The 12,059-nt window shown below is 37.3% G+C and overlaps 1 protein-coding gene and 1 long non-coding RNA gene across 4 annotated transcripts in view; one reads left to right on the forward strand and one right to left on the reverse strand.

The window, feature by feature from the left end:
* Positions 1-12,059, reverse strand: part of STEAP4 (STEAP4 metalloreductase) — a 36,003-nt gene that overhangs the window by 21,555 nt on the left and 2,389 nt on the right. The window lies entirely within an intron of this gene.
* LOC124901692 (uncharacterized) overlaps positions 1-12,059 on the forward strand; it is a 41,815-nt gene that overhangs the window by 960 nt on the left and 28,796 nt on the right. The window lies entirely within an intron of this gene.

Raw genomic sequence — 12,059 nt, forward strand, 5'->3', positions numbered from 1 at the left:
AAATAAATCAATCAAACTTTTGTTTGATATAATTATAGATTCCAAGGAAGTTGTAAAGATAGTACAGGAGGTCCCTGTGCATCTTTCACCCAGTTTCCTCCAGTTTTATGCCACTAGAGTACAATATCCAAACCAGGACATTGACATTGGAGCCATATGCATGTATATTTCCATGTCATTTTATCTCATGTGTATGCTCATGTACCCATCACTTCAATCAGGTTAGAGACTAGACCATCCCTCATGCTGCCCTCTGAACTACCAACCCTAACCCGTGGAGGTCATTAATCTGTTCTTTATCACTACAATTTGGTCATTTTGAGAATGAATAAAATCACACAGTAATGCAAGCCTTTTGAGACTAGCATTTTTTCACTCAGCATAACATACTTAAGATCCATCAATAATTCTTCCATTTTATTGCCGAGCGGTATTCTACAGTATAGATATACTAAAGTTTAACTCTTCATCTAAGGTAGGACATTTTGGTTGTTTCCAGTTTTGGCTATTACAAATAAAGCTTCTATGAGTATTCACCTACAGGTTTTTGTGTGAAAATAAGTTTTCATTTCTCTGCGATAAAGACCCCGGGATACAAATTCTGGGTCATATGGTGTTTGTTTAGCATTCTAAGACTTGGCTATACTGACTTCGAATGTGTACTAATTTACCCCTTACCAGGTATTTATGAGTCATGATTTTTTATTTTAGCCATTCTGATATTTCATTGTGGTTTAAATTTGCATTTGTTTAATGGTTAATTATGTTGCATATCTCTTAATGTGTTTATTTGCTCTCTGTGTGTCCTCTTTGGTGAGAAGTCTCTTCATGTATTTTGCTTATTTTCTAATTGGACTGTTTGGGTTTATTTACTGTTGAGTTTGACAATCTTTATATATTCTACATATGAGTCTTTTGTCAGATATGTGATTTGCAAGCATTTTCTGCCAGCCTATAGCTTGTTTTTTTCATGTCTTAACACATCCGAAGTCATAAAACAAACATTTTTTAATTTGATGATGTCCAATTTATTTAATTTTTTTTCTTTCATGGATTGCGCTTTCAGTATCTTACCCAAAAACTCTTCACAAAGCCCTAGGTCCTGAATGTTTTCTTCTAAAAGTTTTACTTATAAGTCTATGATCCATTTTAAGTAATTTTCATACATAGTGTAAGGTTTAGGACAAGGTTTATTTTTTGACCTATGAATACATAACTACTCTTCTACCATTTGTTGAAAAGACTATCCTTATTTTTTGCTGAATTGCTTTCACATTTTTGTCAAACATCAGTTATACATAGAGGTGTGGGTCTATTTCTGCATTCTCTATTCTGTTCCATTGATCTATGTGTCTATCCCTCTGCCAATACCAACAATGTTGATGGCTGTAGCTTTATAATAAGTCTTAAAATTGGGTACAGTGATTCTTCCCACTATGTTTTTTTTTGAAAACTATTATAGCTACTCTAGTTCCTTTTCAGTCCTATAAATTTTAGAATAATCTTGTCATAAATTTTAAAAAATGTACTTTAAATGCTTAAATTAAAAAAAATGCTTAAAAATATTCCAAAACTTCAATGCAAAGCAGTTCATGTTTTAGGAGAAAAATATAGATGACTGTGCTAAAAAATTAATTCATACAAAAGCATAATAGCAGTGTGTAGATACAGGTTAAGCATCCCTAACCCAAAAATATAAAATCAGAAATGCTCTAAAATCCAAAACTTTCAGACATGATACCACCATTGGATAATTCCACACCTGACTTTATGTGACGGGTTGCAGTCAAAAGCAGTCAAAACTCTGTTTTATGCACAAACCTATTAAACGGTTTGTATAAAATTACCTTTAGGTTATGTGTATAAGGTGTATATGAAACATAAATTTTGTCTTTAGACTTGGGTCTCATTCTCAAGATATCTCATTATGTATATGCAAGTAACTTAAAATGAAAAAAAAAAATCTGAAATCCAAAACATTTCTGGTCCCAAGCATTTCGGTTGTGGGATACTCAACCTGTATCTAATAAATGGGCACAAGTTTAAAGTTATATGATGGACTATATGCATAGATCTCATTTAAATAATAAGTAAAAATCAATTTTGAAGGTCTTTGTGTGTAAGCAGCCTGGGGCCAAATGGTCCCTTTGTCCCTCCCATTCCCTGGAATAGATCCTGTTTCTCATTTCTTTTAGTAATAAGAACAAAGATCAGCAACCTAACCATATCTCTTCTAAATGGTGGTACTTTCTTTTCTTACACTTGGAAAATGGGCCAATTGTTTCCCCCTGAAATTTCATAAAGATAAAAATATATAAATACCTATGCATATAATGCCATTTGTAGAAAAAGAAAAGGCAAGAAAATCTTCCCTTTTCTTTGGTACAGATAGGCCTGGAAGGGAAAATTAGCCTCCATGAATCCCTCTGATTTCTTTTATTTTTAAAAAACACACAAAGTATACAAATGAAGATAGATTTCTTTATGCAAAGACTCAACCATTGTTTATGCACACCATTAGGAGTCTAACTTGTTTCTTAGCTCACCTAATTTTACAAAAATATACAAATTTAAAATGTAAAAAAGTTTTATATGAAAATTTTGGAGGTAATCATTATAAAAACAAGTGTAAAGACAACAGTCTTTCATCAGTTTCAATCATCACAACATAATTTTTAGTAACAGAGAATAGTATGCTGGGATCCGTCATTAGATAAGTAGGCATAGAAGAACCTATCTACAAAGATTGGTTTGGAAGGGTTCAGAAAGAGAGAGGACATGGTGGTGGTACAGACAGACAGATGTTTTCCTAGCACCCTTTCCTGTCTTTAATCATTGAAGCAACTTCTTAGTTGCTTATGAAAATACAAATAACTCTGCAAAGGTCTACACTAAGGCTTATGAAAATGCAAATACCTCTGCAAAGGGTTACACTAGAAACCAGTGGTTCTCAACCCTGGTGCACATGAGAATCAGGTAGAGAGCCTGAAGGCCCAGACTATTGGAGAGTCTGAATCAACTGGTCTAGGGTAGAGCCTGGGCACTTTTTTAAGCTCCCCCAGGTGATTCAAATGTACAGCCAAGCTTGAGAACCATTGCCTTAAAGCTTTTATCAGCTTTTATGTTAGCTTTCACTTAATGGCCTGCTACTGCGGTTCTTCTTCCTGGTAACACATTAGAATCAGCTGAGGAGCCGTTAAAATGCTAGGGAACCACCTCCTGAGATTCTGAATCAATTGATCTGAGGTAGAGCCCAGGCATCTGTATTTTAAAAGCCAAACTAAAACAAACTTAAGCGATTCTGAAGAGCACCCGTTTTGGAGAACCACTGGAGGTGGAAAAAGGTAAAGTTATCTTTTTCTTTTCCTTTTTATTTTGGAGAGGTGTGGTAGGGAGAGGAAAGATAAGAGGAAGAACAGGATGTTAAGGTTGTAAGGAGCTGCAGAAACTTCACCTTCCTTACAATTTTTTCCTCTAAGTCTTCTTTGGCTGAGAAGCTAGAATTCCTCTCTTTTTGAGAACCGGAGGCAAAATGAGTATGTTTTGAGTGTGCAGGCCTTGGAAAAGAGAGAGTTCAAGGTATGCCAGATTCAAGACTTGTCAAACTGTAGGTAAGGTTTGTTCCATAACTCTCTCAAGGAAACCTTAAAGAGTTGTCTTCCAAGAGCCATGAAATTATAATTTGATCAGATCTACTTATACATCTACTCGGTACCCCTAATAGCAACTATCACATAGTACAGCATAATGTGATAACGTGTTACTAATCAGTTGGGTGAAGCCATTAATAAAATCATTCTGCCTCTTTCTCTTTTTGAGAATTCAGCTTTGAATTCTGAAATAATCATTCATCCAAACATCTGAATTCCTCAGACATTATCCCCTCTGGACACATACAACCACTAGTGTAGCACACAAATCAGAGATCTGGCTTGGCACCTTCCAGAGAGTTGAAATGCAAATAACACCTTCAAACTGTTTAAGATGTGACAGGATTTTTTATTTTAATTTAACAGCTGTAAATAGGAGGGTTTTTTTAAAGTCCTTCCTTCTGTTTTATTATTCTTTCTGAATTTCAACCCAAAAGCCCTTGATGACTTGATAACATATTTGTAATGAGCCGAAATCCATCAATCAAATGTTTCCTTTCATCACAAGGCAAAAGGGCAGGAGGGGGTTCTGCAACTATATCAGTCTTCTTGTGATTCACAGCATTTGTTTTAATATATCCCAGGGACAATTAGAAAGCAAAAAATATTAAAAAAAATAAAAACCTTCCATGAAAACACAAACGTATCCAATTTATTCACTGAGCTATTTCTGTATTTAGTGAGATCAAGGCTCCCTAGGGATAACAAACATTCACATTCAACTACATATTCTTTTATTGGCAGGTAGGTATTACTGTAGCAAAATCAGTAGACCTTGGTTTAAAAAGATCACTGATTACAGTTTATTAAAAAAAAGAATGCCCATAATAAATGGCTTTTTCTAACATTTTTTGGACAGTTCAATCTTTAAGCCATATATAAGTCATTTGAAAATATAAATGTATATTTTAAAATTTAGCTTTGTAGTTAGAAGTAGTGCTGTTTGCAAGGGCAATTTCTTCCTGGTGATATTTATGTATAATTTTCAAATTCTTTCTTTTAATATACACATTAACACCTTCCTTCATCAGATATTTATTGATCACCTATTGTGTACCACATGCTATTCTATAGGTTGAGGGTAAAGAGGTGAAGAATACAGATCTCATATAGAGTTTGGAAATGTTATCTCCTTACAAAGTGCTAAGACTGATCTCTGAATTTGTGTGCTTCAAAAACAGTGTGTGTGTACATTATTATAAGAAAGTTGGACAACACACACATAAAAATAAGATAATTTCAGATGGTAGTAAGTGTTCACAAGAATTCAGAGCAGAGTGATGGAATAGAAAATGTTGGGAGGAGACAGAGAGGGAGACTAGTTTTGAGAACTGTTTAGCATAAATCTCTCCAAGGAGGTGCCAGTCAAGTGAGGGTTGCCAGATTTAGCAAATAAAAATACATAATGCCGATTAAACTCAAATGTCAGATAAACAATGAATACTTTTTTAGTGTAAGTATATCCCCTGCAATATTTGGGACACATTTGTACTAAAAACACAAATGTGTTTTAATATGAAATTCAAGTTTGAGTGGGCATCATGTATTTTATCTGGCAACCTTAAATCAAGCTGAGACCTGACAGGCAAGAAGGAGTTTGCAGGTGAGTTTTCCAGGCAGGGGGGAAAGTGAGTGCATATGTATGAACTAACTGTGGTAGCAAAGGGCAACCCTTACAAAAATACAGCTGCTCCTCAATTTATGATGGGGTTACATCCCAATAAGCTCATAATAAGTTGAAAACATTGTGACAGAAATGCAGTTTATACACCTAAACTGCCCACATTTTAGCTTGGCCAAGCCTACCTTAAATATGTTCAGAATACTTAATTAGCTTACAGTTGGGCAAAATCATCTAACATGAAGCCTATTTTATAAGAAAGTGTTGATTATCTCATGTAATTTATTGAATACTGTATTGAAAGTGAAAAACAGAATGTTTGCTTGGGTACTCAAAGTATGGTTTCTCCTGAGTGCATAGTGCTATCGTGCCATTGTCAAGTAAAAAAATCTTAAGTTGAACCATTAACTTACATAAGTTGGGGACAATCTGCCCTCCATTTAAAATAGCCTAATTTGCAACTAGATTAGTAAAGAAGCTATTACTGACATTTAAAGATAATTTAATAGCTGGGTCATATGAAATGAAAGATTATGAAATGCTTTTATATATTTGTAGCTCTTTTTAACTGAGTGAGAATTGGAGAATGTGGTCAGAGGAACAGGGTCCACTGGAAAGAAACTTCAAGCTTGTGTATTAGTATCCCTTTTTAATTGAATGTCAACTAGAACTAAGATAAACTCTTCTGATATTAAAATATAATTTGATTAGAAATTTAAATTCTAATTACATCAAACTGGTTCTTGTAAACACACACACACACACACACACACACACACACACACACACACACCTTTTACTCCAGGGGGAGAGGAACTTGAGTTAAAGAGAGCAAAAGCTTATCCAAACTAATTTTCAGAACCTACATCTAATTTCTTAGACATGTGCACTTCTCATAAGTTCATATTGCTGCCCATTCTCTTACTATCAGTTTAAGTAAAAATTAGAGCAATCCTGTAGCATGATAAATCATCAACTTGTGATTTCCAAAATAAGTTCTAGTAACTACTTAAGTTACTAATTGCTATAGATTAATATAAATATATCATTTAAAGCTCTTTTTCTACATAAAGAAACTACTTCAGGTTGGTTGCTAAAAAACTGATTATTTCAATTGTTTTGTGAGAAAATGTTTTGTATCCCATAGCAACTGAATTTGCTGATTATTTTTTATGCTAGACAATAGAATGGCACACAAAAACACAGTAATCTTAACTTGCACAGTTTCATCAAGTCACAAGAGCATAATTAAAGGCAATCTTTACATTAATGTTCTATAGAGATGTATCCTACATGAATTGCTAACAACTAGCTATGAACTAACTATGTCATATGCGGCAACTAAAGTGATTGTTAGTAATATTTTACTAACACTATAAATTATGAGGAAAGTGAGGTAATAGAGATCTATGTTAACTATTTTAATTGTATTTTAGGATAAACTTATTTATCTTAAATTTAGGTTCTTTGTCGAAATTCTAGTTCAATTAAAAATCTCATTAATACATGTTGCCACATTTCGATCTCAGCAGTATCTGTCAAGATAAATTAAGATTGTTTTATAATTCTCTGGCCAAGAATTTCATCAGGTAGGTTCATTATCTGCTGTCCAAGCTGGTTAGTTTATCTGATTAAAGCCCAGGACTCATGACAACAAGGTCAGGGATTCAGTCGTGTCTCTGGGTTAATTTACCTTGACTTCCATTTACATTTTAAATCCTGAACAACTTCTTACAAATCTGTGGGTCACCAAAGATTAGGCATCTGGTCATGACCAGGACCAGTGGATTGCCACTATCAGAAAAACAGCTCTATCTCATGGCTTTGGTGGCATTTGGCTTGTACATACTACATAAGCATTTGCTTAATCTGATGATCTGCATCAACTCCCCTAATATTTAGTGTTCATTAGTGGGTTTTGCTTTTCTAGGTCTATTGTGGTCAGAGATATTTGGGAAGTAATTTGTAATTTCAATTTTGAATTAACTTTGTTCAAATAAAATTTCTTAAGAATGGGCATTTATCTTTAGATTAAGGCCAATAGGAATTATCTAAATATCAATAACTGCCAGTTAGTTTGGAGAAAGCAGTTTTGTTGTGGATCTTGACCCCACCCCCATTCCTTGCTGTTGGAGGAACTCCATTCTGCTTTAAGGTATCTCCCAACCATTTTTAGAAATCTCTGGGGGCAGTCCACAATGCTTATGAATATAGCCTACTTCATCTTCTTTTGGGTAACTTCTAATACGGCACTCAGAGGCAAGGACTCCCCATGGCCCCAGTGCCTCTGATGTTTGCTGAGACCCATCAGATGGAGCTGCTGGCTATAATCTGGCCTTGCAGCTGCTCCATTTCTGACCTCAGGGGAGAAAGTGCTCTTGAAATTCCTTCTTCTAACCTTTTGTAATATTCTGATATACAAGCTTGAGAGCATTGCTAGTTGATAAATATTTTAAAATAAACAGCTCTTTCTTTTTAGTTTCAAGGTTTTTATTTTATTTTAGTTTTTGAGACATACTCTTGCTCTGTCGCCGAAGCTGGAGTGCAGCGGTGTGATCTCAGCTCACTGCAACCTCTGCTTCTTGGGTTCAAGTGATTTTCATGCCTCAGCTTCCTGAGTAGCTGGGATCACAGGTGCGTGCCACCATGTCCAGCTCATTTTTTTTTGTATTTTTAGTAGAGACTGGGTTTCACCATGTTGGCCAGGCTGGTTTCAAACTCCTGGCCTCAAGTAATCAGCCCCTCCCTCCACATCCCCTATGCCACTTTGCCCACCTTTGGCCTCCCAAAGCGCTAGAATTACAGGTATGAGCCACTGTGCCTGGCCTAGTTTTCAGGTTTTTAATCTCAGCCTTTCAGTGGTGTGGCTGTGGCCAGCTTGCCAGCTGGGAGCTTGAAATCAGTCACAGTAGGAGTTTTTACCTTATGACAATCACCAAGTGCTACAAATCAGGACTTTTTTTTTCCTTAGAGAGGCATTTACCAACATACCACTGGTTCTTCCCCTGCTTCTTTTACCCTTTTCCCCAAGACTCTGGAATGTGACCACAAAAATGGGAAAATATTTGGGCTGATGGGATAATACCATTTTCCCAGTCCTGGCTGAATCTGAGCATAAATCTATTTTCTTATGGCCTCACCTTCTTACAAGGCTCCTAAGTTCTTTAGGAAAACAGAATCCTTGTGGTTTCCCTACCCCAACAAAGGTTCCAGACCCTCTCTACCTCACACATGGCATCAACACAATTTTAGCTATAAACCTGATAGCTTTAGACTCTTGGTTCCCTAAGGGAGATAGATACAGGGACCCATCTGTGTACCACCATCCCCAGCACGTATTTTAAAGTTATTCAGACACACCTCAGAACTAGGGTAAGTGCAGTTTAGGATCTCAACTATGAAAACCAGAGGCAACTGGCACACTTTCATTATTAACTGCAATGAACCATTTACCAACCAGCTAATTGCTTTCTCCTCAATCTCCTCCCATTTCTTGTGCCACTTATGTCAGGGAATTGAATAGGATGAATAAATCACTTTAGTACTTTGGTACTGGAGAAGAGCATATCATTCTTAGACAGGGTCTTGCTCTGTCACCCAGGCAGGAGTGCAGTGGCATGATCATGGCTCATGCAGCCTTGACCTCCCAGGCTCAAGAGATCTTCCCACTTCCGCCTCCCAAGTAGCTGAGACTACATGTATGCACTACTACACCTAGCTAACGTTTTAATTTTTATTTTTTGTAGAGATGGGGTCTTACCATCGCCCAGGCTAGTCTTGAACTCCTGGTCTCAAGTGATTCTCCTACCTCAGCCTCCTAAAGTGCTGGGATTATAGGTGTGAACCACTGCACCTGGCCCCATATCACTTTTTTTTTTTCCAGACAGCTGGAGTGCGGTGGTGCCATCCTCTACCTCCTGGGTTCAAATTATTCTCCCACCTCAGCCTCCTGGGTTCAAACTATTCTCCCACCTCAGCCTCCCAGGTAGCAGGGACTACAGGTGTGCACCACCACGCCCAGCTAATTTTTGTATTTTTGGTAGAGATGTGGTTTCACCATGTTGGCCAGGCTCATCTTGAACTCCTGAGCTCAGGCAATCCGCCCGCCTCAGCCTCCCACAGTGCTGGGATTACAGGCGTGAGCCGCCGTGTTTGGCCCCATATCACTCTTTAAAACGAATTAGAATACAAAATATTACAAATAAATTTGTAACTACAATACAGTATAGCAACATAATAGGGACACTAAATCAGGAAATACCAAGGTTCCTGCAGTTTCTTCTACTTTAAATAAAATGTTATAATAATTTCAACTATTCACTTTATATGTGCTATACAGTTCAAAGCAACCTCATGCCTCTCCCTGAATGGTAGGAAGTTAAAATGTGGACTTTGCCACTGCACTTTGACCCTGTTAACTAATATTGTGCAGGCAGCATCCATACTCATTATGTACTATGTCCATAAGGTAAGTATCTTCCAAAAATAAAAATCAGTGTTATTAGCAATGCCTTGCTTTCAACAGAGATTTATTGAATAGCCACACTAAGAGGGATAAAGTGAGAAACGAGATGGACCCTGTCCTCAAGGAGCTTTGGTCTTGGGAAAGATGAAGCATATAATCAAATTGTTGCAATGCATAGTGTAATGGCCAGAGCAGACGAATGTGTAGAGAGGATGGGCGCCTACAGGCTAGGAGGGACTTGAATCTGCCAGGAAGCGGAACAAGTAAGTTTTCCAAAGTCTGTGCAAAAGTTTTGCAGCCACAATTTAACTTGAGCTCAAAACTGTTTTCACACCCTGTAAAAAGAGCAGGTATAGATGAAAGATGAACAATCAGCGATGACCATTAATTATCCCTTCCTATTTCTACGCTCCACAGTGCTGGTGCCATCAGCTCTCTGAGCCCTGGCTCTGTTCTTAATGCATTTTTTTTTCCTTAATATTGGGTGCTGGCCAGGTGCGGTCACTCACGCCTGTAATCCCAGCACTTCGGGAGGCCAAGACAGGCAGATCACTTGAGGTCAGGAGTTGAAGACCAGCCTGGCAAAAATGGCGAAACCCCATCTCTACTAAAAATGCAAAAATTAGGTAGGCTTGGTGGTGCATGCCTTTAATTCTAGCTACTCAGGAGGCTGAGGCAGGAGAATTGCTTGAGCCCAGGAGATGGAGGTTGCAGTGAGCTGACATCGCGCTACTGTACTCCAGCCTGAGTGAAGGAGTGAGACTGTCTCAAAAAAAAAAAAAAAAAAAAAAAATTGGGTGCTGAGGCCAAACTGACTAGCTTGTATTCTACTAATAATCTTCCAAGAGCTGTGCTATATAGTTTTATTTTCTTTTAGCCTTCTTTTTATTTAGAATTATAGTTCCTAACTTTTCAAAATTACTCTTTGCAAACATTTTCCTTCCTTTTAAGATGAAAAGGGAACTTTATCCTGATGTTAGGATTGATCATATAATCTGCATTAAAAAAAAAAAAAAAAAAAAAAAAACTCCAACCGGGCGCGGTGGCTCACACCTGTAGTCCTAGCACTTTGGTAGGCCAAGGCGGATGGATCACCTGAGGACCGGAGTTCCAGACAAGCCTGGCCAACACGGCGAAACCCCTTCTCTACTAAACATAAAAAAATTAGCTGGGCATTGTGGTGGGCACTTATAATCCCAGCTACTCAGGAGGCTGAGGCAGGAGAACTGCTTGAACCCAAGGAGCAGAGGTTGCAGTGAGGCAAGATCCTGCCACTGCACTCCAGCCTGGGTGACAGAGCGAGACTCAGTCTCAAAAAAAAAAAAAAAAAGTCCTCCCAAAATAGCTTTTCAGAAATATGTGACTGCCAAAGTACAGTACAGTAAACCTCTCCACACATGGCTGAATAAACTCTTACAGAACATTGTGGAGAAGAATTTAGATTGGGATGTCAATGTCCTGCCTAGTTAATTAGAGTGTATATACTTCCTTTAGTAGAATAGTGTGTTCTTTTGCAATGATATGTTTCTGAAAGAGGATCTTTAAACAGCACAAGGATTCATTGTTTTCTATTCCTTAATGATTTGGGAAGAACAAATTGTTAATCTATGTAGGCCAAGAATGTTTTCTTAGCATGCCTTGTTTTATGCATTAATTATTCTTTAGTTATTTATTTAGTTTGATTCCTTCCAGGACTGATTTCTTCTTAACAAAAGGACAAATACTAATTCAAATCACTTTGGAAATGACCTAAAAGTCATCAGAAATATCTTGAGTGGAGTTAACACAGTATATAGAACTGTTCAGGAAGTTTTCCTAATTAGTAAACCAGTCTCTTTTCATGTCCTTTGTAGGGACATGGATGAAATTGGAAATCATCATTCTCAGTAAACTATCGCAAGAACAAAAAACCAAACACCGCATATTCTCACTCATAGGTGGGAACTGAACAATGAGAACACGTGGACTCAGGAAGGGGAACATCACACTCTGGGGACTGTTGTGGGATGGGGGGAGTGGGGAGGGATAGCATTGGGAGATATACCTAATGCTAGATGACGAGTTAGTGGGTGCAGCGCACCAGCATGGCACATGTATACATATGTAACTAACCTGCACATTGTGCACATGTACCCTAAAACTTAAAGTATAATAATAAAAAAAAATCTGTGAAGAACAGAGACAGGTAACTTCAGAGATCTTATCTCTGTAAACCTTACATTATTATTATCTGGCATAAACTTACAACAAAAAAACAAACAAACAAACAAAATCCCACCCAGAAAACTTCACTATCCCCATCCTACTCTGCATTGTTATAGTA

This window comes from Homo sapiens, chromosome 7, assembly GCF_000001405.40.
Source record: "Homo sapiens chromosome 7, GRCh38.p14 Primary Assembly".
NCBI lineage: Eukaryota > Metazoa > Chordata > Mammalia > Primates > Hominidae > Homo > Homo sapiens.